The sequence below is a fragment of the Homo sapiens genome, chromosome 11, assembly GCF_000001405.40.
Source record: "Homo sapiens chromosome 11, GRCh38.p14 Primary Assembly".
NCBI lineage: Eukaryota > Metazoa > Chordata > Mammalia > Primates > Hominidae > Homo > Homo sapiens.
The window spans coordinates 126,566,365-126,591,118 of record NC_000011.10 but is presented as its reverse complement, the minus strand read 5'-3'; the positions used below and the strand labels follow the sequence as shown (position 1 = coordinate 126,591,118).

Below are 24,754 nucleotides of genomic sequence, written 5' to 3'. Positions count from 1 at the left end.
AAGGAGCTGGGACTACAGGCACACACCACCGTGCCCAGCTAATTTTTGTATTTTTAGTAGAGACGTAATTTTACCGTGTAACCCAGGCTGGTCTCAAACTCCTGGGCTCAAGTGATCTGCCCGCCTCAGCGGCCTCCCAAAGTGCTGGGATTATAGGTGTGAGCCACCGCACCCAGCCAGATCACTTTCTAATAAGGCAAATCCTCAAGAGAATGGGTGAAATGAGACATACAGGACAAATTTTGAGGAGAGAAGGGGTGGGGAGAACAGGGATGGAAGACCTGGCTGGGATGGCCAGCGAGGGAGTGGTCCCAAGAAGGGCGGCTCCCGCTACCAAGGTATCTAGGAGGGCAGAGACTACCAGCTGTGTCCCCAGCCTCCTTGAGCCTGGTGCAGCAGCCCCCACAGGCACAGCTCAAGCCCTAATTACACCCTCCATCACTCTCCCACTGAGGCTGAAATGGGGACAGATCACTCACCGTACAGTGGCAGTGACCTTCACAGACCATTTCTCCTCCTTCCAGCCCCCCACTTAGCTGAGACCATGTTCTCTTTCGTCTGCTGTGTCCACAGTGAGCCACAGCAGGGCCGCATGCAGCCACGGCAGACACAGCCCTTGAGGTGGGGACCGCTGGGGTGTTGCAGATCTCAGCCACACAAAAGGTCTGCCACAGCAGCTAGTTTCTAGAAGACTTAGGGATTTAAGGCAGAGCCCTGTAGACAGGGCTGGCTGAAGAGCCCCATAGGAGTCGACTCTGGGAGCTGGGGGCCCAGGAAAGTGGGTGTAATCTTAGACTGCATTAATTGCAAAGCAATTTTTAAAACAGAGGGAGGTGATGTTCTTCTTCTAGGCTTTGCTTGATCAGGCTACATCTGGAATTTTGGGTTCAGTTCTAGAAATCAATTTGAAAGGGGGTATTAACAAAACGAATAACCAAGGTAGTTAAGGTCAAAAGACCATGTCAAATGAGGAAGAGGCAGGCCTGTATAATGGTTAGGTATGCAGCCCTCAGAATCTGGTTCCTGGGTTTACATTTGAGCTCAACAAATGCTCAACAATGAAAGCCAGAGTTAGTATCCATACTGGTGTTGAGATCAGCTTTCAAAGGACTGTGGCATGTTCTGCTGCAGTGGCCCTGGCTGGTATTCAGAGGGAGCCCCTGCTCCTAAGGATGGGGCACAGTAGAAAGAGGAGCGTTCAGGAGTAACTGAGTAGAGCCTCAGCCAGCAGCTGGGGCACTAGGCAAGATCCAGCCCCAGCCCCAGGAGGCAGGGATGAAATGCCAGCAAGGTCAGGTGAGGTGGCAGGATAAAGTGGGTTGAGTCACTGACACACCTCCCAAGCTTCAGTGACTGGTGCACTAGTAGGGAAACTGAGGCTGAGAGGTAAGGGGCTGCACTCACGCCCTATAGGTACATCTGTGTCACGGATCACTCAGTGCCAGAGCGACGAGATGTGCTTTGGGTTCAGAAACATGGGAGCACTTATCCCAGCACTGCTGTGTGATGAGCTGTGTTACTATGCACCAGTGACTCAGCCTCTCTGAGATTCCATTTCCTCCTTTGAACACAAGAGTACCTACATGGTTAAGACCAAGGGGAAAAAACTTAACAAGACAACTGACACACATAGCTCTCTCTCAGTTTCCCAAGCCCATGGTGCCCTGAGTCCCTGCCTGCTGGTGGGCGGGCGGAGGGCGGCTGCCACAGCCCTGCCTGCCTGGACCAGGAGCAGCACAGTTCCCGGACAAAGCTGGCCACAGTGCCCCCATCCAGGAAGAGTCAGTCATCCCCACACCCCACGCAGGTTGTAGCTTCTGTTCCCCTGCACGCAGACGCTGCCAACAGCCCAGACTCTTTCAGCTCTGGAGGGCTTGGAGGGCCCTTCATCTGCCATTGTGTTATTTGTTGTCCCTGTTCTCGTGATGAACAGAGGAGAAATATTGTCTCCAGCCAGAGCCGCAGGAGGCAGACACCTGGAGAGGCAGCGGCTCCAGGGCAGCAGTAATTGCTCTGATTGGAAGGCATTTCCTCAGGTTGCTGGAAGGGACCGGGAGAGGCAGCTAGTGTGCGGGTGCCCTGGGTTCCAGGAAAATCCTGGGGGCTTGCAGCCCCCTTGAAGAATGAGTGCCAGGCTTCACGGCCCAAATTGCTGTTCTCTCTTTCTCCCTGCAGCAAGCTCCCTGCTGGAGTGACTGATGCCCTCGTCTCCCCTGGTCCCCCCACCACCGCCACCTTCTTCCCACCTCAGCTCACTTGTTCTCAGGAGACAGAATTCCAGCCCTACTCATAAATCCATTCATTTGACGTATATTTCCTGAGCATGCCTCCTAACTGCCAAGCTGTGCTCTAGGTGCTTGGGATTTATCAGGGGATTAAACAGCTCCCTGCCCTTGTAGGCCTTACCTTTGAACCAGGGAAACAGATTCTAAACAAAAGCATAATAAATTGGTAAATTATATAGAATGTTACAGCATGTTCAATGCTATGGGGAAAATAGAGCAGTGGAGTGAGGAGGATTGGAGTGCCCAGGGCGCGTGCAAGGCTTAGGACTCCAAAGGGAAATTTTGGCAAGGACTCCTCCTCTCCTTCCCCTCCCTGCCTCAGGGCCCGCAGCAAGGCTCCACCCAAACCCCTCCAGGTCGCTATCCCAGGAAAGGGGAGTCCCCAATTCCTATTCCCACCCCTATCAGCCAGCATAGCCCTCCCAGGTAACTTGCATTTTGCAAAGCACTATTAACATGCAAAAAAATCCTATTTAAGCCTCTCTTCAAGGATACCTGTGGCTGAGTACACTTATTCCCATTTTGTGGATTAGGAAACTGGGGCTCAGAGAAGCTGAGTATCAAAGGGCAAGGCCACACAGCTCTAATAAGTGATAGAGCCAGACTTTGATCAGGACTTTGACTCCCCATCTGAGCTCTTGGCCAGTGTTACTCTCATGTCCCTGATCTCATTGTGTCCCACAATGATTCCATGAGCCGGGGAACAATAAAGCCCATTTTGCTGATGGGAAACTAAGACTAGAGAGTTTAAGTAACTTGCCTGAGGTCACACAGCTAGCAAACGGCAGATATAGGACTTGTCCCCAATCTACCTCATGGCCCAATGCTTTCCCCCGAGCCCTAGATCTGAGTCTTCCAGTCCACCTCTCCCTTCTTCCTAAAGCCTTCCAAAGACAGACCTCTGCCCCTCCCTGTACCAGGGCCCAGCTCTCCTTAGAGTCATTCATTCCTTGCATTCACTCACTCTCATGAAAACTAAAAAGAAGTGAAAAGATAGATGGCAATAAGAATTGTGTTCAACTATTTTACTTAAGTCATAATCATTCCTAATCTAAATTTGCTGGAATGTATTACACAACCTAATCATTCACATATATTGTACTGCGGTTTCAATTTAGTGAAAAGTAAAAGCCATTCAGAGACAGAAATATGTTAAATGAATATCTCCCAGATTACAGTCCTTCAGCGAGATAAAGTGCAGCCGGATTTTTATTTTGATTCAGGGATTGGTGCTGCGTGCTCCTCTTTCAGTTTGGGTGCATTTCTGGCTCCTCTTCCACATACAATGAAAGGCTGGGGGAGTCGAGAGCACAGTGAAGACTGCAGGCTACAGGGTTGGTGAGAGGGAAGCGCTGTGGGTTTGGGAATGTGATGGCTCCATGACCCACTGTTCCAGATTGGAAAGCTGCCCAGCCAGGGGTCTGCAAACTACTCCTGGCTTACCTCTCTGCCTCATGCCTCACAGCTTCCCCTGCAGCTCTGCTCCAGGCCAGACCAAACATGCCATCACCGGAGCAGAGTGTGTTCTTTCTGACCTCCCAGCCTTTGCACACGCTGCCTCCACAGCCTGGAACGCTCTGCAGCCCCCGTCTTCATCTCCCTGTCCCCTATTTGTCCTTCGGGTTTCAGCTTGGATGTCATGTCCCCAGTGGACATTTTCCAAGAACTGCCATGTCTGGTGAGTGGCTCTCCCTACACATCATCCCGGTGCTCTGGACTCTTCCACTGGAGCATCCATCACACTGCATCGTCGTTGCCTGTTTATTCATCTCTCCCACTGACTCCCAGCTCCCTGAGGCAGGGACTCTCTCTGGTTTACAGTTGTGCCCCCATGCTTAGCCATAGTAAGTGTTCAAAGGACGTTTATTGGCTGAATTCACCATCCCAAGCCTTCGAACAGTGACTTGCCCTTCTCCCAGTAATTTTAGGGCCCTTGCTGCATGCCTGCCTCAAGATCTCTCTACAAGCTGGGTCAGTTTTTATCCTCACCTGGATGGTTGGTTACCAAGGAGGCCCCAGCAGAACAGTGCCCAAGTGATGCAAAGCTGTGTCCCAGCTCCTGACCCAGTGCCTTCACGGTGCCACCTTGTATCCGCTACTTCAAAAGGGACAAGTGGCAGCACCCAAGTCCTCACAGGCCAGAGAAAGTGATGAGGCTTGATGTGGCGTTGTAAACATTGAATCTGAAGCCAAAAGACCCGAGTTCAACTCTGACTTCTGCTATGTATAATTTATGGCCCTGAACGAGTTACCTAATTAGTCTCACTGAGCCTCGGGTTTATAAAATGGAAAGTAACAACACCGATGCCTCTAACTGTTGTTAGGAAGAACTAATGACAAGCAGAAAGAGGGCGGGGTATGTGCTTAGAGGCAGCAGTGCTCCTGTGAGTAGAGAGGCCACGAGACCCTTCCCCCAGCTCGCGTTCAGTGAGAGGGTCTCAGCAAGACCGCTTCGTACTTGAAGGTAACTATCCAGTCCGAGCTGGATTACCTAATTACCTACTTACTCCTTCATGATTTAAACCAGGGAAACGGCAGCGCTAAACAATGTGATTTTTATTGATTTTAGCTCTATGTTCCTCATGAACAAGGACACATGAGGAGTGGCCGCTCTAATTCAAGGTCCTCAGGTGCCTTTTCTGGGCCAAATGCCTTGCTGTGTTTTCCCTAATGTGCGCTGTAATCTGAGCTCATTCCTCACCTCCCATCATCTGAATGCCGCCACGTCCGGGGAGGGATCCTGTGGCTGAGTAATGCGCTCCAATAGAGAGTTTGTTTTTAAAGAGAGGAAGTAAAGAGTAATGTTCCTGTTCCAAGCTGCTGAGGGAATTAGGAAGGCAGACGGCCATTACTCAGGCTGGAATCCTGCCAGGGCTTATGATATCATATTTATTTGCCAAGAAAAACATCTCCCTCCTCTGTCTCAGGCAGCACAGGGAAGCTGAAGCCCAACTCCAATCACGTTCCGTGCGGGAGCTTTAAGACACACAGATGGAACTTAACGAGAGCGACGGTCGTTTACATTGATGGAGTACCTTTTAGCTAGATGCCCCCCCAGAGTGTGACAAGCCTTCTGGACAGACGAACAGACACCGGCGTAGAGTGCTAGGCCCCGCATCCCTTTGTTCCCACGTTCCGCAGGAGGCTTCCCCCGGGGCCTCTGCCACTTGGCATGAGGGTGGAACCCTAAGCAGTTTTCCTATCCGGTCCGCTGCTTCCAAACTCTGTTAAGAAAGCAGGAGATGGGAGCGAAGCCTCTTGATAAAATTCCACAAACTATCCTGGTGAAGGTTAATTCCTGGCCGGGCGCGGTGGCTCATGCCTGTGATTCCAACACTTTGGGAGGCTGAGGCGGGCGGATCACACGAGGTCAGGAATTCGAGAGCAGCCTGGCCCGCAGGTTGAAAACCCATCTCTACTGAAAATACAAAATGTAGCCGGGCGTGGTGGTGAGTGCCAGTAATCCCAGCTACTGGGGAGGCTGTGGCAAAAGAATCACTTGAATCAGGGAGGCAGAGGTTGCAGTGAGCCGAGATCTCGCCATTGCACCATTGCACCCCAGCCTGGCTAACAGAGACTCTATCTCAAAAAAAAAAAAAAAAAAAAAAAAAAAGAGGCCGGGCGCGGTGGCTCACGCCTGTAATCCCAGCACTTTGGAAGGCCAAGGCTGACGGATCGCGAGGTCAGGAGATCGAGACCATCCTGGCTAACAAGATGAAACCCCGTCCCTACTAAAAATACAAAAAATTAGCCGGGCGTGGTGGCGGGCGCCTGTTAGTCCCAGCTGCTCCGGAGGCTGAGGCAGGAGAATGGCGTAAACCCGGGAGGCGGAGCTTGCAGTGAGCCGAGATTGCGCCACTGCACTCCAGCCTGGGCGACAGAGTGAGACTCTGTCTCAAAATAAAAAAAAAAAGAAAAGCAAAGAAAAAAGAAAAAGGTTACTTCCTTTATGATGCACTCCAGAGAGCTCTACAGATGAAGCCACAGTTGTCTGATATCTGGTATTATTGAGTTAAGTGCCCATCATTGGGGTTGTGGCCTGTTGACAGTGACCCATGTGTGGTAGTGGCATCTGGCCTGCAACTTCAAGGGTGTCACAGTGGGGAAGCTCTGCCCCAGATCTAAACGACACCCCACCTGCTTCACCTTCAGTCCAGTTAGACACCAGAGAGAAGCTGGTAGTGTCATTGGTGGTGTTACTCTGAGTGCCCTGGTACAGGAGGAGGAAAGTTAAGCCCACATGGGACATTGAGAAAGACCACCTTTGCTCCCCTCTGCCTGCCTTTGCAGCCAGGCTCGGTCATACCCACATGCCTGGGCTGAACTGAGGAGCATAGACAAAAATGAGTTTTCAGACTACTGGGGGCTTTGTATGGGGAAGAAAGGGGCCCATCCTAGAGTCCAGGAGAGTGAGGAGCTACAGTCAGAGAGGGCAAACCTTGACAAGTTCCAGGAGTAGGCAGAAGAGTGCATCCACAGGCGCTCGCCAGGCAATGGAGAGGTGTTGGAATAAGCTGTATAGGATCTAGATATGGCAGCAAAGAGATGGGAACGCCAACGCCCTAATTCCGGGGCACCAACTGTCCACACTGCCTGCAGACTGTGCTCCCAGGCTATGTTGATGTCTGTTTTCCTTCTCAAGCACGCAGCCCACGCCTGCAGAATTCATCGGGTGCCCTGGCTGCTGCCACTGCTCAAATTTTACTCACGAGGATGGCTTTGTGACGGATACATCATCTCATTTTCCTGGAAGTCCTGAGGGGCAGCCACCAGATTGTGCACGCTGAATGTCAGCTACGTTAAGCTAACACATTCACATCATTGAAAAACCCTATTTACACATAATAAACATGGGGATAGTTGCCGCGGAGGAAATAATATAGTATTGATTAAAACAATGGCCTGTAATGCCTTCTGAAAGCCTGCAGCCACCAGCAGCCTCCACAGCGGGTTGCACACAGGCAGCCTCCCTACCTGGCTGCCTCGGGCCTGCCGTCAGCTGTCACTTTCTAAATGGAGAAGACAGGCATTTCCCCGGGCGAGGGTCGTGACAGCAGGAGCCTCCATTTAGGGAGTCCTCGCTGCGTGCCAGGCACCGTACTGAGGGCTTGCTCTCCTTTATCCCCATAGCAGCTCCTCGAGGTAGATGGGATCATTCTTTGCATTTTACAAAGAAGGAAGCAGGCTCACAGAGGAGTTAAATGTCTTGCCCGGGGTCCCACAATTAATAAGTGACAACGCTGGGATTTGAACCTAAGTGTGTCTAACTCCACAGCGCATCCCGTCCTCCTCATGCTAGACTCCTTCGTATATTCATTTTCTATCTTGATATGTAAATATGTGAACAGAGAAGCTCCTGGTGCTCGTGCTGAGGCCCTTGGCAGGGTGTTATCATTGGTTCAGTGGGGGATGGTCTGTGACCAGCTCAACCTCAGCCATGATCCCAGCTATCTTAAGCTGAGGAGAAGACCTGCTGTTTGGCAGAACTGGAGATTTCAGAGTCCCTGAAATAGGAAATCTCATTTTAGAAAGATGGCTTATTGCCCTAGAGCTGCTGGCAGGCCTAGAGCGGGGGCATATTTTCCCTGGTAACCACACAATACCCTTGGCTCAGAAACAGTCCACAGTGAGCTGAGGATAGCAGGAAGGTCCAGGACCACATCTGACATGGTGTGTCAGATGGAGAAGGCTCCAGGAGCACACAGGAGGTATGGGGCCCGGGGAGCCAGCTGTCCACATCCGGAACCACATGTTTCCATGATGGTGGGTAACTGGTGTGGATGGGAGAGATGGGAGGGTCTGAGTATCAAGAACAGATAGCAGTGTCCATCTGTTAGCAGTGAGCATTTCTGCTGTGCTCTGCCATTTACTGACTGTGTAGCTTTGGGCAAGTCACTTAGGCTATCTAAGCCCTCATACCAATATTAAGGATAATACTTCTTCAGTACCTCAGATAATTAAGGATAATACTTCTTCAGTGCATCAGATAATTAAGGATAATACTTCTTTAGTACTTCTTCAATACGTCAGTGTTGCAAGGGCTTAAAAGGAAAATATGTTGCTGCACGAAGCACTGGCCTTTAACAGTCAGCACTCAATTAAGGTCAATCCTGATCTTACAACATGTTTGCAAATACTCGGTGACCTTCCCCTCCCATCCTCATGGGGCTTTAGACCTGCAGAAGCCCCAGTCTTCTGAACTCAGTTCTCACCCCTTCCCCACCTGACCTGCAGCTAAGGTCATCCATCCGCCTGCTTCTCAGCTGTCCCTGCCGTGGAATTCAGACTGGGGAGGTAAATGGGCAGATTTTTGCATCTGCCGAAATCCTTGCTTCACTGGGTTTCATTTTCTTCCGCTATAGCAGAGGATTTCCACTAAACCCCCGAACCGTGTCTGGATTATTGCTTCCGGCAGCATCAGGGGAATGCGTTCTGATACCAAACACCAGAGGCAGAAACACAAACCAGAGCTTAGCAAGGCTGGTGAAGGCACCTCTGTGTTGCCACTGGTGAATCTCAGGCCCACTAGCAAGCAGTGCATCCTTGCAATGCACAATGGCAGGAGCTGGTCCTGGTCTGGCCTGACTGAGAGGACAGGCCATGCAAAGAATGCTCAGTTGAGAGTATGCCCCTCGCTTGAGAGATGAGAAGACAAAAGCCCAGAGAGGCTCCACGATTGGCTCAGTATCACCCAGTAAGGCCAGAGGAATCACACAGGCAAAACCAGGGCCAGATCACAGGGAGGAGCCTGGCTTTGGGGTGGGAGGATCTAGGTTCCAGCCCTTCTGTCACATAGCCGTGTGACCCTGGGCAGGCTGCTTAAGCCCCAGGAGTCTCTGTTTTCCCATCTGTGGAATGGAACAATGAATACATGCCCTTGTGTAACTAGGGATCCAGGAGGTCAGGTGTGGTCTGTTACCTGTGCTCAGTTCATAGCTGGCCCCTTTCCAGCACCTTCCCCTTGTCCCTTCCATTCCCTTCCGTGCCACGTCAGGACAGCAGAGCCTCTCGTGTGTGAGGTGCTTCTCCTCCTACTCTGGTTCTGAGACATAACCCTGGTTCAAGAGGAGACTCCTGTCTATTACAGGACATGGTGATTACAGTTAATAACAGTGTATCCTATAATTGGAAATTGCTCAGAGAATAGGTTTTAAATGTTCTCACCATGCACAAAAAAAAAATGATACATATGTGAGGTAATGGATATGTTAATTCATTGATGTATTCATTCCACAATGTATGCTTTTATCAAAATGTCTTGTATACCATAAATAGATCTACAACTTTTAGTTTCAATTTTAAAAATAAATGAAAGTTTTAAAATTGAATATAGGCCAGGCGCGGTGTCTCACGCCTATAATCCCAGCACTTTGGGAGGCTGAGGAGGGCAGATCACCTGAGGTCAGGAGTTTATGACCAGCCTGGTCAACAAGGTGAAACCCTGTCTCTACAAAAATACAAAAATTAGCCAGGCATGATGGCGGGTGCCTGTAACCCCAGCTACTCAGGAGGCTGAGGTGGGAAAATCACTTGAACCCAGGAGGTAGAGGTTGCAGTGAGCTGAGATTGCACCACTGCACTCCAGCCTGGGCAACAGAGTGAGACTCTGTCTCAAAAAAAAATTCAATATAATGTGACCAGCTCTAAACCCCCCACTAACTATAGCAAAATTATATTTGAAAATTTAATCAATGAGAGGAGGCCCCAGAGCTTCTGGGGCACTGATTTTATCTGCCACCCTTCATTCCCATGGCTGCTGTCCTGCCTCCATGTTCTTTAAACTGGCATTGCAGGCATGGTTTGAGAAGGGCTGTCTAACCCTTTCCAGAGCTAGGACCTGGCATTTACATGAGCACCTACTTCACCATAGGCAGTGGATCTGCACAAAAGAGTCATTTCTTTATGAAGCACATGCAAAGACTGAAAGGGGATGATGCCATTGAGATTCAAGTGCAACCCGGAGACTGTAAAGTCAAGGAAGAAAAAAAAAAAAAAAACAGGAAATTCCGGGAACAGGTAGGGCCATGTGGGGATGGGGAGGGGAGGTTATTTTAGACAGACAGAGTCCAGGGCAAGTTCTTCCTTCCTGAATCAGAGGAGAAGACAGGGCAGAGCAGTCCTGGCCCACACGTGGCCCTGCTTGTCCAGGGTGCACAGAAACTGTGCCAGGCCCCCTCCTGCAGGAGGGCAGTGCACAAATGTGCCAGACAGCACATGGGGCTGGGCCAGGGCGAACTAGAGGCTCCATCACAGGAGAAGAAATTCCAGGCTCCACCCTCTGTGCTCAAAGCCCTCCACGGTATGCCTCCACTGACCTTTCTAGACTTCCCTGCACAGGTCCTGCCTTCCACTCAGGGACCCCCTTGCCCATCGCAACCTGAACCCTTGGCTCAAGCCATTCCTCCTCCTAGAATGTCCTCCTGCTGTCCGGTTCACCAGTCCCCAGCATTCTAGGTGGCCCAGTATAGTCCAGCCTCCTCCACGAAGACCTCCCTGGCCAGCCCAGCCATGGTGTCTTTGGCTATCCTTTGTCTCCCCAACTGTGGGTCCTCTGGGGGCTGAAATGTTATACAGTGCATCTTTATGCTTTCAGCTGTGCCCCGTAACTGGCCTCTCCAGCAAGTATGTGTTAAATTCCTACTGTGGACCAGACACAGTGACAAGTGCCAGGTGTTAAAAGATGACTGGGGGCCAGGTGTGGTGGCTCACGCCTGTAATCCCAGCACTTTGGGAGGCAGAGGTGGGTGGATCACGAGGTCAGGAGATCGAGACCATCCTGGCTAACACGGTGAAACCCCGTCTCTACTAAAAATACAAAAAATTAGCTTGGCATGGTGGCGGGCGCCTATAGTCCCAGCTACTCGGGAGGCTGAGGCAGGAGAATGGCGTGAATCCAGGAGGTGGAGCTTCCAGTGAGCCAAGATTGTGCCACTGCACTCCAGCCTGGGTGACAGAGCAAGACTCTGCCTCAAAAAAAAAAAATGACTTGGCTCCCTCTTTTAAGGACCTCACAATTCAAGGAGACAGACAGGCGAACAGAAAAACATCACGCAGAGGTGGAGAGAGGCAGGGGGTCATGAGAGCAGAGAGGGTGGTTGGGCACATTGCTTACCAGCAGTGGTAACCTGGAAGCATTGTCCAGATCCAGGTGCAACTCTAGATACAAATGCCATCCAACCTCAATGCTCCCCACTCTAGGGCCACAGGTGGTGCATTTGCCTCCTTTGTACCCTGCCCTGTTTTTTCTGCCCCTTTTCTCACTCTCTGTCTCCCCAGTTCTCCTCTTCCACTGGCTTCTTGCATGAACCCGGACCCCATTTGCTCATGAGAGAAGTTATTCGTTAAATTAGAGAGTGGTTCCTGGGGACACTGAGCACTCTGCAGAGAAAAGGCACAGTAGAAATCTAATAAGTAAATCAGAGGGCTAAAAGCTCAGACAACAAGCAGGAGGATTTAGGAAATGAGGAGCTACAGTCTCAGGTACCCGAGGAAGTCATAACTGACAGAGCAGCTTGCACCCCTTGGCCCTGGATGCAATTTAAGAAATTGGATTTTATACTCACCTGCGTTTGGGAACTAACTACCCTCCCACATGATAAATCCTAAGGCTCTTGGTGGAACTCCCTGGGGCCCGCACCAGCGTCATCTGTTTTAGACGACCCGTTCATCCTCCAGGATCATCAATGGCTGGCAGGAAGGGAGGACCTCTCCGAGACATTGGTGAGCTCTGGTGCAAAGACCTTTCTTGGCCATGGCTTCTCGGAGGCAGCACACGGACAGAGCACGGGCTTTGGGTTTGATCGAGGTCTGGTTCTGTTGCTGTGTGGCCTCAAACAGTTGTCTCGCCTTGCTGGTCCTCAGTGTCTTCATAAGTCACATGGAGACAAAGTCCCATCTCTAGGCATGGTGAGGATAAGTGAGAGAGTGTGTGAAAAGTATTTTGCAGGGTAGATACTTGCTGACAGATGGTCAATACGTGATGGCTTATTTTCACCTTGGAATCAGTAAGTCCAGCCTAGGTGTGGTAGGAGAGCCTGGAACTTTTACATCTCCAGGGACAGGGGACAGTCATTGAGACAGAAGGAGCAGGACTGGTGCTGAGTCAGAAGTCCAGAAGCCTGTTGGTCAGGAAGTTTGCCATACCCATTGCGAGAACTCTCCATGGGTGTGAGGCGGATTCTGAGTCCCTCCCCCAGGACCTGAGCAGACAGCCTGTGTACATGCATACACGCTCACCCACGTGCCCCACATGCTGTCACACATTCATGATACTTACTGTTCACAATGTGTCCACCCACAGGGACACGCCACACCCCAAGTTCTCACCCCGTCCCCACCTATGTGCACAATCCACACTCCCGCTCTTATTAGCAGGTAGGCACGGAGTCACGTTCATGTGGAAGTTCACGCCAAGACCAAGATCATCCCTTTTCTTTCCTAGCGTGTGAACCAAGGATCTCTTCCAATGAATTCCCATTTTGCCCTCCTCTTTCTTTGTGAGATACTGAGGAAGGACCAGGGAATGAAGCCAGAGTCTTGCATTTGCAGAGAAGCTGGAGGGGAGAGGGAGGGAGCATTTCCTGGGCTGCAAGCATCCCAGGACCGAAACATCCTAAGGGTTGTTTATTTTGGAAAAGAAAAGATTGTCTGTTAAACTTCTCAGTAGTTGGGTGGAAGAGGGATTAGTCTCATTCTGTGTTGCCTCACAGTGCAAATTTGGGACTAATGAGGCAAAGTTGCAAGGCTGTAGGGAATATTTAAGCTCAACATAGAAGAACTCTAAAATTATTTAAACTCTCCAAAAATGAAAACCACAGCTTCCAAAGTAATGAGCTCCCTGTCTTTAGAACGATCCAAGGGAAACCAGTGTGACTACTTCTCCAAGGTGCTAAAGGGGGAATCCTTTAGCACTGGGTGTGAGAATGGCACTGATTAACCTCAAAAACACTTTTTGTTCGAAGAATCTAGAACTGGGCAGTTTCACACAGCTTCTCACTCAGCTATTCTCTCTGAAGGTAAGGATGACGTCTAGACCAGAGAAAGGACGGTTAGTGTCTTTTTTTTTTTTAATTGAGACAGAGTCTTACTCTGTTGCCTAGGCTGGAGTGCAGTGGCACAATCTCAGCTCACTGCAACCTCCGCTTCCCGGGTTCAAGCCATTCTTCTGCCTCAGCCTCCCGAATAGCTGGGGTTACAGGCACCTGCCACCACGCCCCGCTAATCTTTTTTTTTTTTTTTTTTGTATTTTTAGTAGAGACAGGGTTTCGCCACATTGGCCAGGCTGGTCTCGATCTCCTGACCTCAGGTGATCCACCTGCCTCGGCCTCCCAAAGTGCTGGGATTACAAGCATAAGCCACTGTACCAGGCCAGCGGTTAGTTTCTAGGATGCTGGTTGCCAGCTAGGACCCCCTCCCCACTCTGAGTTATCAGACCCAAATTTGTCCAACAGATGCCCTGGACCTTTTTCCCAGAGACCTGGTATTCCCTGGGTTTTGTCTCTGCCCCCACCCATCGACCTGACCTGAGCGCAGAAGTCCTGATACTGAATTTGTTTCAGGTGACATTTTGATGAATTCAGACCCAAACTCACTCAGCTTATTGATCCTAGAGAAAATGTTCATCCTTTAAAGACCACCAAACTGCATACTTAATCCATGTGCCACACACCGGGTCGATAGGAAACGCGGCTAAGACAAACATTTTGCTGAGCCCTTTATTGAAAGAGAGCTCTGTGACATTCTATTTCTCTCTTCCTTCCACGTGGACTGAGCACCCCATCCCCCACCCAGAGGTTGAGTGGCAGCAGCGAAGGCACGGGTCTTCAGTTATGGGAGCCCTTGAGCCTCTCTCAGCCTCAGTTTTCTCATATGAGAAGCACAGGAAGCAACAACTCCCTCCCCAGTTACAGTGTGGACTAAATGGCATAACTGTGTGTGTGTAAAGTGCCCAGCAGATAGCAGCATCTCAGTAAAGGCTCATCTCTTGTCCTTCCTTCTGCATTCCAGTAGGGAGAGCCTCATTTGTGGCTCAGGAATCCCTTGCTCCTCAGCTGATTAAAAAGGACCCTCTCAGTGTGCATCAAAAATCTAAGTGCCTGAGAAGAAAGGAAGCAAATTAATGAACTCATACATGCACGTGCACCCACATTCAAACCAACTGGTGGTACCAAGCACCAGCCATGCAAGGCCAAGCTGTGGTGGGTGGCACACTGCCAGCCTGAGAGAGGGTTTGGTGACAGCATTTTGAAGATGGAGATGCTGAGGTCCAGGGATGTTTAATAATTTGCCCAAACCCACATGAAACTTCCTACCTCTAAATTACGTGTAAGGGAAAGGAACTACATAGAAGCTGTCTAAAATGGAAGCTTGGGAAGGCAAAAATTCTTCTCTGTCTTGTTCATCACAATATCCATAACAGCCAGAACTGACACAGAGTGAGCTCTCCTTGAATGAATGAATGAATGAATGAGAATGAATGAATGAAATTAGAATAAACTCAAAGATAAAAACCTGAATGACTGGAAGGTTAACTACATAAAGCTGACCCATACCTGAGGCTGACTTATAGTTCTGTAAAAGGAAGGACAAATGAAGGTAGGAGGAAGTCCCATTCTCAAACCAGCAGAGATCTCAGACCTCAGCCCTCATCTTGGCCCCCAGAATTTTGAAGGGACACACAGTGCTAAATCAAATATTAATCTGTTGAACATTAGAGTAGATCATCCCTGTCTGTGGAGTTACTCGTCACATACACATGTGCACTGAGTGCCTACTATGTGCCTGGCTCTGAGCCAGGTTCTAGAGATTAATAGAGATGGTTCCCACCTCACAGTCTGGGAGGGTTGGAGCAAAAATTCAAAACCGTGGTCGCATCTATAAGGGAGTCTCATAGCAAAGGTATGAATGAATGAAGAGGTATGAATAAGGCAGTTGGCGGGGGGTGGTGTCCAGAGGAGGGGATGCCCATCTGCAAGGGTAGGGGTGGAGAAGGCCACACACAGAGGAGATTCTTGGGGGCTCTTGAACTATGAATGAAATGTGATGCTTGAGAGGGGTGTGAGAATCCCTGATAGAAGGAACAGCGGCCCCAGGACAGCCACCAGGCAGCCCCTTCCTCTGAGAGCTGAACAAAGCTGTTCCTTGAGCTGCTGTGGGTATTAACTCCAACAACATAGCAGTCTCTATTCAAGCTACAGAACTGGATTCCTCAGGCTAATCTTAGAGTATCTTATTATTTTCCTGACTTTTAGCATACCCCTGTACTTTCTAATAATATATTATATTTATAAGTAAGTACCATTTATAGGGGCTTACAATGTGTCCGGCCTTGGTTCCATACATTTAGACAGGGTTTAGGAACACAACTCTCTTTACCCTTCCCTCCCAGTATTGTACATACATTATCTCCAGTCCTTATTGCAGCCCAAGACCTCTCCATTGTACACATTGAGGAGACTGAAGGTGGATATCTCTGATCAAGAGCTAAGAGGTGGTTGTGACACCCACACTACTGTGAGAAGGCCCCAGGGCTGTGGGATCAATGGTCCAACCTTCCTAGGCTGGCTTCTCTTGGCCTCAGGAGCCAAGAGAGAACCTGCCCCGACTGTCCAAAGCTTCAAGCCAGGGTAGCATAGAACTTCCTACTCCCCGGGCTTCTTAGCTTAAGCCTCTTTTTTTTAAACCAGGCTCCCTCACTGTGTCCTCTGGCCAGAGAACTTTCTCCAGATGAACAAGAAGTATAAATTCTCCTGCAGTTCAGGCCCTGGGCCACCGGCCTCCTCCACATTGCCATAACCACCCTCTGTGGACTGACAGAGCCTGAGTCAAGAACCCCAGTGGTTCATAGGGGTAAATAGGTCCCAGAGACACACTGATCCCCACCTCCCATGTGCACCGAAAACCTTGTAAGCATGATTGTTCCAGAATAGACCCAGGAATTGCCAGTGTGGACCCAGGTATTTTCTCGTACTATTCATTCCTATTCCAAGAAGTATTAAGCAGCTCATCAATAAACAAATGAATGGGTTGGCAGGAGTAGGTAGGCAAGGGTGGAAGTGGTTCATAAGCAGCATTTTCTTTTCAAGGGAGATTTAAGTCTAAGGAGCCATCTCAAGTCTGGAATTCCTTCCCTTTCTCCAAATGCGTGCACACATGTAAGCACACACTATCCCAGCCACCCTCGTCCTTTGCTCTGGTGGGGCTGCTAGATTGGATAACCCCAAAAGGGGTCACTTCTCTGGGGCTCAGCTATTGACGTGCAGGGTCTGTGCAGTCCTTGGCATGCTAATAGTAGCAATCTGCCTCCCACTGGGCTGGCCTCGTGGTAAATAAACTTTCATGTTCTTATTGAGTGATGGCTGGTGGCTCAGAATCGCTCCCCTGGACCTGTTTGAGGTTGATTCCATACTCAAAGCCATCATGCTCTCCTTTGCCCACTCACTGCTGAAAGGTTATCATTAAAGAGAAGAAAAGAGCTTTGATTTTTGTTGCTGGGCCACCAGCTTGGATATGGGGCTCTGAAGGAGGTGGGGGAGTTTGGTTTTACCCCAAGCGTTGTGGTCAAATCCTAGCCCTGCCATTAGCAGCAGGGTGATTTTGAGCAAGGGAGGTTGTGGAACCTCTCTCATCCTCAGTGTCCTCCATAAATGTTTAGGGTTAAAGAAGAACATGTATTTACTTCTTCAACTGCAAAGCTCTGCAGGTGTGTTAGTTGCCAATAATACTCAGTTAACCTGGTTTCCACATTCCGCAACCGATGTTCTAGTCCCTCAGAATGAAGCCCCTTGTCTGGGGCCTGTAAGGGGCTTCCATGGAGCTTTCTGGAATGTGTGGACTTTCCATAAAGTATCTCTGACAAGAATAGAATGGGTAGAATCAGGAGCAGGGTCCAGACCATGACTGGCAGGCAGACAAAACTTCCCCTGCAATCTTGACCTTAACCCTGTCCCAGCGATATCCCCCCAGCAAGAGGTCCCCCCGCGGATCTGCTGCCACCCTGTGGTCTCTGTTATTCCTTTCCTCTCTTGACCTGAAGTGGGAGAGACTGCATTTGAGCTTTCTTGTTTTTGAAGACAAAAGAAACATTGGGCTAGGGCCTCCATCTAGCTCTCTGGATAGCTAGATAAATAATTACTAAATAAATAAATAAATGAAAATAAACAAAGCCTCCAATGAGTTTGAATTGCTGCCGTGCTGAGAGGTAACTGGCAGATTCAATTTAATTATAGGATACAGCGTCGTAATGGGGTATGTAAGGCTCAAGGAGGATTTCAGTAATGGGAGGACAGCGGGGTTCCCTGCCTTTTCCGCTGGGTCCTCTCCTAACCCCACCGCCTACTTTCCCTCCTTGCTGTGTGGGCTGGGGTGGGTGGGGGAAGCGGGTAGCTGCCTGGGCTTGGCTCTGCTGTTGGGGAGATCTCACCAGTTCCTCATCCTCTGCTCCTCACCAGCCTCAGCTCCCAAGGTGGCCCAAGTTACAATGCCCTAGAGGACAGTCCTCTCTGCGGAAACGTGTGAGGGAGGAGAGACAGCAAGGAGAGCTGGAGAGCCCTCCCTCCTTCCACCCCAGTGAAGGTGCGCAGCATTCCTGGGTGAACAGGACCCACCCCGCGAGGCAACGCATGCCCACTGGACTGTGAACCAGGCAGCTGTGACTGTGACTTGGCTGGGGGCAAGGACGTGCTGTCCCCTGGCCTCCCTCCTGTGCCGCTTTTCCACCCAGAATGTGGAGGGGGCATTCCCAGCCCACTGGACCTTAGCCCACACATCTCCACCCCTAAAAACCCTGCACTCCCCACTCGCAGGACATTTTGTTCTTCTCTCTGCCCCCTTCCCTTGTGCCAAGTGAGAGCAGACATCTCCCCCTACCCCTACTCATTCGGCAGCATGTGAGGGGCTTGAGGGCAGGGGCTGGACATGACTGCCTGACTCCAGTGATCAATTCTTTAAAGTCAGCGTGTGGCCCTGCTAGGACCCTCTTCAGTTAATCCTCAGTGATCAGAGTTTTATGTGGGCCATAAATAGGTGACAAGAAGGTTTGTAAGCCCATCACTAAATAGCAGCCCCGCCCCTGCTGCCTGCACACCCTGAGTAGGCAGGCATTCTCCACGCTTCCCCACCTCACCCCACCTCCCTGCCTCTCCAGTCCCTGAGAAAGGGGCTCTCCAGGAGCCTCACTCCCACAAGGGCTTCTCAGTGCTCCTGACCACCTGACAGTGATGCCTGTGACTCCATCAGCAGCACCTGCTTGGCGGGGGGGGGGTCCCCTCTTCCCACTGGGGTCTCTGCTGGTCAGCTGGGCTGTGTGCATGACATTGGGACCACATCCTGGAAGAAGGGCACAGCAAGCCTGGGCTCTGGAACCAAATGGGCCTGGGTTCTAATCCTGGGTCGTCCATTTCCCAGTTGTGTGACTTTAGGAAAATTGCTTGGCTTCCCTGAGCCTCACCTGTACAGCAAAGCTAATAATCCACACATTCACTAATCTGGGCAAAGACTAATTTCACAAATCAGTCTTGTATGTATAACCTGTTATTGGGCCTCTGGCTTTGCAAAGATCTTGGCCTCAAGAGAACTGTAGGGGCTGGGGAAGGGAATACTTGGAGGCAGGCTGGGACTTTGCCTGCCTCCTTATTGCCTTCAGTCTTAGTCTTTTGGGAACTCTTGGTCCTTCTAGAAATAAGGAAAGCAGAAATGCCTTTTCCTGCCTGGCCTCCCAGCCATGATGGACTGAATGGACCAGGCTGAGCCTCCCCAGGGGTAGGACACATAGCTGTCGAGCATCTGGCCCCATTCAAACACTAGTCACGACTTCCAACTTTCTGTTAGGAAAAGTCTAACAGCCCTCAGGCATATGGCTTTTGGCAGCCCCTGTTCCTCACAGGGTGTGTGGAAGACAGACTGGAGGACAGGAATGGCCTTCATGATCCTATTTCTCTGTTCCCCCACCTAGCAAGTAACTCATTGGAATTAGATACGTTAAATCAGAGACGGGCTGAGGCATCCTTGCACATGGGATAAAACTGTTTCCCGTAAAATTCTTTAACCAACATTATTTAACATCCCCCCGCCCCACCCCTCTCACAAACGGATTATACTGGAAGTCCAAAGAATCTCATTCATGATTAGCTTTACTAACCTCAGCACTTACTAGCAATGTGACCTTGGGGAAGTTTTGTAACCTTTTGGATCCTCGGTTTCCCTTCTGTCAAATAGGAATAATAACAGCACTTACCTTATAGAGTTTTGATGAGGAATAAAGAAGGTAAGGCATGCAAAGTGCTCAGCCCAGAGACTAATGAAGCATAAGCAATCAGCACATGGCAGCTTTCATTGTGATGGTGAACTACATGAGCCTGGTCCCAGGTGGCAGACACTTGGTGATGCTGGCCAAGGGAGAGGGGCAAGGCTGGGCTGCACCCAGCCCCCAAAGATAGTAACCAGTGTCCCACTTTCAGTGTACAGAGGAGTGGGGTGAGCTCTGCCAACCTTGGGTCCCATGTTGATGGCCAAGTGCCCCAGAGAAAGCTGATGGCTGTGTCAGAATTCCAGGCAATTCATCAGTTGGGAGAAAGATCCCAGGCAGTGTCTGAGGGTAGGGGAGGAACCCAGCCCTCCAAGGAGAGAAAGATGATAAGAGCTAGGCAAGGTATCAAAAAGCCAGCCCAAAGGGCTGAGACTCCGAATTGGTTGGGAGTCGAATCTCACAGAGAATGGAGACAGAGCATGGCACGACGCACCAACAAGCACCAACATGGAGGTGTACGGCAAGCCTCACCATTTGCCAGCTGTGGGACTCAGGACAAACTCCTCACTCCTCTAAAGTGTCAATCTCTCGCTAAATAACAACAAGGAGAATAACACCTGTGATCATAAAGGTGTTGTGAGGGTGAAACGAGATGAGAAAAGTTAAATGTCCCTTGCAGCTCAGCAAATGACTGCTGTCTTTTTTCCCACCTGAGATGTACAGACTTAAGCCAGTGAGCAGAGATTTGGAGAAGCCGAAGGATAGATGACCACATGGGCATGTAGATTTCCTGCAGGCACACAGGATCTGAGACATAGCAGCACAGATAATTCTAGACCCCACAGCTGGTGGTGAGGAGTTGCTGATAATGCCTGCCTTGGCCGCATGGGGGATAGAGCTATGCCAGCCAAATAATGGCATGGCTGGAGCAGGCTGGAGAAGGCAGGGCTGGCAAAGGGTTATCCCAGTGTTAGGCACTGCCACTGCTTACCAAGCTGTAAGGTGCTGATCGGCACGTGATCAGCAGGTGTGTGAGGGAGGCTTGCTGCCTGCTGGAGCTGGTGAGATGGGCTGGCGGGTCACAACAAGTTTTTGGAATTATCACAAATGATTGTCAACTCTTCCTAACTGACAATAACTTGACATGAAATGTTATAGAACTCATTATTTCAAAAACGTAATTTAAGACCACAGCTGTTTCAGATTCCTCTTATATGAATTTAATTGGTATGTAATAGCATAGTTAATTAAATACAAATCAATAGTTTAAAACAACTAATTGATAATATGAATGGGGAAAAACTTAGTTCTAGTATAATTAACTCATATGAAATAAGCAATGAAGAAGCAATTATGTCTTTACAACAACGTAAAGTTTATAGTTATTTAGTAAACTTAGAATTAGCAAGCAATGAGATCCAAAAATTATAAAACAGGTATTATTGGGCTAATTAAACATTTATCACTCGTCCTGGAGGTCCAGGGCCAGGCACTAGTCAGGATTAATATACCTTTGCTACTCCACTCTTCAGTCCTCTTTATGATAGAGGTTGATCAGAAAATTATGATCTTTGCATGATGTATGGGCATTATTATTGCCTGGGATATGAGTAATTATGCTGAAAATAGGAGTAGGCAGAACCGATGCAGAAAGCAGTTTAGCAGAATCAAAGTGAAAACTTTCCAAACAGAAGACCCCATCATTCTGCAATCAGAATGGCATCGCTGGGCAGAATGGCTACTGATGGCTATTGATAGACAAAAACCAATGAGAGGGCCATTGGTAGACATCCAAAACTAAGACAAAACTAGGGACAATCTCCAGCTTTCAAGGCCTTTTGCAAGGACCTCCCTCACCATCCCACAGCCTGAAGCTGTCTTTTCCTCCTGGGGACTCCTGCAGTAAGAATTGCCATTCATGCAGAAATAACTTGCGTGCTGCCTCAAGACTTTCTTTACCGAACTATTACCTGTCTCTGACTTTTAGTTACCTTTTCTTAAGTATATGTCTTGTATAGCCAACTGGATTATAGTATCTTTGGGCTAGGAAGTTTGCCTACTATTTTTTTCTCTTGCACATAGTGCCCAGCACTTAGTGGCCTCTTTGCGAGTGTCTGTGCCTTGGACTTTACACCAGTCACATTTATTAATGTGTCCTGGTTCCAGAGGGGTAGGATTAATGCTTGTAGCAGAGTCTACCCACAGGATCCAACTGCTGTTTCCCCCAACAAAATGTTTACCCTCTGAGGTCAACGCAACTGGTTAAAAATATTTCTTCAGCCTAGAACTCCTTCTCACATGATCATCCAAGTCCTCTTCACTTTAGAACCTTGTCACCTCGAACACAGTAAGTCCAGAAATGTACCATTATCACCTGTGACTTAATAGGCTTCCTTTGTCATCACCCTACTCTGATACAGACATGTCTCTTTGTCCATTATATCCCACAAAAGACACTGGGGTCATCCTTGCCCTCTTCCTCTGCTTGACCCACTCTGTCACTTAGCACCACTGTCTCTTCTTGGAATGTCTCTGATTCATCATTTCCTCTCCATTCCCAAGCTCTCTGGTTCCTTGGCCTCTCCCATGACAGCCACCTGGCTGGTCTTCCTGACTGGCCTCACATTTCCAGTCCATGTCACTGTTGGCTACGTGCTAACCTGGGAAGTATGCAACCTAATAGCTCATTATATCACCCTGGAGAGCTCACTCCACCTCTCTGCATCTCCACTTTCATATCTGAAAAAGAAAAAAACGAGGGGGGTAGAATTTGGTATTTTGTTTCTATTTATTGAACTCACCCTTATTAGGTACTTCATTCTGGGCACTTTTGCCCATGTGTTGGCTCATTTGCTTTTCATATGAATCATGTGAGGAGGGTCTTACCGTTAGAATCAACGTTTTATAAATGAGGAAACCAAAGCTCAGAGAAGCCTAAGAGTTGCTCACTGGTAAGTGCTGGAGCATGGCTCCAGCCAGCTCTGTTAGTTCTGAAACCTCCCCTGCCCCATGTGGCCTCCCTGTGAGTCCAACCAAACCCAGCTGGTGTCTCCTCCAGATGATCTCAGGCACTGTCTGGGGAATGGGAGCTATTTTTTCAGCCCCTCCCCTGCTCTCTATGTCAACGTGGCAGGGATGAATGTCAGGATAAAACTGAGGGTCCTTCCCTTGCTTTCTGATCTCTGGCCATCTTCAGAGAGCAGGAAGAAGCAGCAGATGCAAGCCCACCATCTCCCACCTGGAGTATGGCAGCGGTCTCCCAGCCAGCCTCCCTTCTCTGAGCTCATCTCCCATCCATCATCTGCACCAGTGCTGAAGGGATCCTTTATGAAATGCAAGTCTCACCTGTCTTTCCCCTGCCTAGCATTCTGCGTGGCTCCCACCTCCTTTAAGAGAGAGCCCAGACTCCTGGGTGAGGCTCATTGGCTACTCCAGGATCTGGTCCCTGGCTAGATCTCCTGTCTCATCTTTTTTCTTCTGCTACAGCCACACCAAACTGCCTGCCATTAATTTCTGTTTCTTGTTTGATAGGCTTCCAGAGACGTGCTCGAGTCTACTAGCTTCAGGTGGGAAGGGGTTAGTCTTCAGCAAGCACACCTGAACTGTTGTGACTGGGCAACTTGGGGACAGGACAGGAAGGCCTTCTACAAGCAGCCATCCAGATGCACTTGATGGCCTCAGAAATGGTGAGGTAGCAGAGGCTGGTGCCTATCCGTTGTCACCGGCTCCATCTGCAGTTACTTGAGGGCACATTAATGTCTGAACAGGGCAACCAGGCAACCAGCAAGTGCTGTCCTGGCCAATACGGTCCTCACCCTGGAAGCAGGAATGCTAATGGCATCCCAGCTTGCCGCTGGGTGCCAGGCATGCAGACACGTAACCAGCCTTCTCTCCCCACCTTCCCTCTTTCCTGTCACTTGTGGCCGCCACTCCCAACAGATCTTAGCCACCCTGGGGTCTCCTTAGCAGAGTGTGATGCTGCTCCCTGCAGGCAGCTTTGTGCTCTGGGGGCTGGGTTCCAGAGAACCATGGCCAGTGGAAATTGCCAGGCCTCAGAGAAGACCCACTCCTCCCTGTCCTGTCTATATTCATTTGCTAGGGCTGCTGTTACAAAGTACCACCAGCTGTGGGGCTTAAACAACAGAAATGTATTGTCCCACAGTTCTGGAGACTGGAGGTCCAAAGTCAGTAGAGTTGGTTCCTTCTGAGGGCTGGGAGGGAAGGATCTGTCCCAGGCACCCTCTTTGGATTGCAGATGGCTGTCTTCAAGTTTTTACAGCGTCTCCCTGTATATGTGTCTATCACTAGATTTTCCTCTTCATAAGGACACCAGTCACAGGATAAAGGTCCGTCCTAATGACCTCATTATAACATGATCACCTCTACAAATTTCCTATCTCCAAACAAGGTCACACTCTGAGGGACTGGGATTAGGACTTCAATGTACGAATTTGGTGCAGGAGGGGAACACAGAATTGGTGAGGAATTCGACCTATAGCACTGTCCCAGCCCACACCGCTGATCTGTGCTCTAGTCTCTGGTCTGTCTTGATTTGCAGCATCTGCAGCTCTGCGACCCCGTACTTTACCCTAAGAACCAAGCCAAAAATCAGCCATGGGTTCCAGCATGGGCACTATCACCAGCTAGTGTGTTGGCCTTAAATTGTCACTTTACTTCTGAGCCTCAGTTTGTGAAACCAAAATGAAATAGATAATTTCTGACTTGCCTGTGTCACAGAGCTACTTACTGTGAGCATCTAAAGAGAAAGGGAATATGACAGCGTCATTAAAAAATAAGTATCCCACAAATATGAAATAATACCACCGTATCACTACATTACTAGTAAGAATGAAGGAATTCTAAGGCTAGAAAACATCCCATCTGCACCCTCTGAAATGGAAGAAAACCCATCCCATTTAAAAAGCCATCCCCTTTTATTTCTCCCAGGAGGAAATCCCACTATGTTATCTAGGCTTCTCTTCCAATGAGCTACAAGTTTCATTCACTCTACAACCAACCTCTGCTAACCTAAACCCATTGTGCTACAGTGAAGCCCACTTATTTTCATTCTGACCCGAGTCAGAAGGAACCCTTCACAGTCCCATATTTTGTAGCCAGCCCTTTCATTAAGTCAGCAGACTGTTCCTGAGCACTTACCATGTGTCAGGCACTGTGCTTGGTCCTACGGGCTCAGAGCAGGAGAAGGCACAGTCCTGACACTTCA

At 49.5% G+C, this 24,754-nt stretch overlaps 1 protein-coding gene and 1 long non-coding RNA gene across 18 annotated transcripts in view, besides 4 other annotated features; one reads left to right on the top strand and one right to left on the bottom strand.

Moving 5' to 3' along the window:
- The window catches only part of KIRREL3 (kirre like nephrin family adhesion molecule 3), a 580,037-nt gene that overhangs the window by 412,276 nt on the left and 143,007 nt on the right, over positions 1 to 24,754 (top strand). The window lies entirely within an intron of this gene.
- Positions 1 to 24,754, bottom strand: part of KIRREL3-AS1 (KIRREL3 antisense RNA 1) — a 68,564-nt gene that overhangs the window by 21,272 nt on the left and 22,538 nt on the right. The gene's annotated exons all lie outside the window — the stretch shown is intronic.
- Positions 3,229 to 3,947: an enhancer, noted in NCBI's record as "H3K27ac hESC enhancer chr11:126457067-126457785 (GRCh37/hg19 assembly coordinates)". NCBI's record gives its function as "activates a minimal SCP1, AML or CMV promoter by ChIP-STARR-seq in naive H9 embryonic stem cells {active_cell/tissue: H9 hESC(naive)}" and the evidence as "EXISTENCE:reporter gene assay evidence [ECO:0000049][PMID:30033119]".
- Positions 3,948 to 4,668: an enhancer, noted in NCBI's record as "H3K27ac hESC enhancer chr11:126456346-126457066 (GRCh37/hg19 assembly coordinates)". NCBI's record gives its function as "activates a minimal SCP1, AML or CMV promoter by ChIP-STARR-seq in naive H9 embryonic stem cells {active_cell/tissue: H9 hESC(naive)}" and the evidence as "EXISTENCE:reporter gene assay evidence [ECO:0000049][PMID:30033119]".
- Positions 4,669 to 5,388: an enhancer, noted in NCBI's record as "NANOG-H3K27ac-H3K4me1 hESC enhancer chr11:126455626-126456345 (GRCh37/hg19 assembly coordinates)". NCBI's record gives its function as "activates a minimal SCP1, AML or CMV promoter by ChIP-STARR-seq in naive and primed H9 embryonic stem cells {active_cell/tissue: H9 hESC(naive and primed)}" and the evidence as "EXISTENCE:reporter gene assay evidence [ECO:0000049][PMID:30033119]".
- Positions 22,849 to 23,349: an enhancer, noted in NCBI's record as "H3K4me1 hESC enhancer chr11:126437665-126438165 (GRCh37/hg19 assembly coordinates)". NCBI's record gives its function as "activates a minimal SCP1, AML or CMV promoter by ChIP-STARR-seq in naive H9 embryonic stem cells {active_cell/tissue: H9 hESC(naive)}" and the evidence as "EXISTENCE:reporter gene assay evidence [ECO:0000049][PMID:30033119]".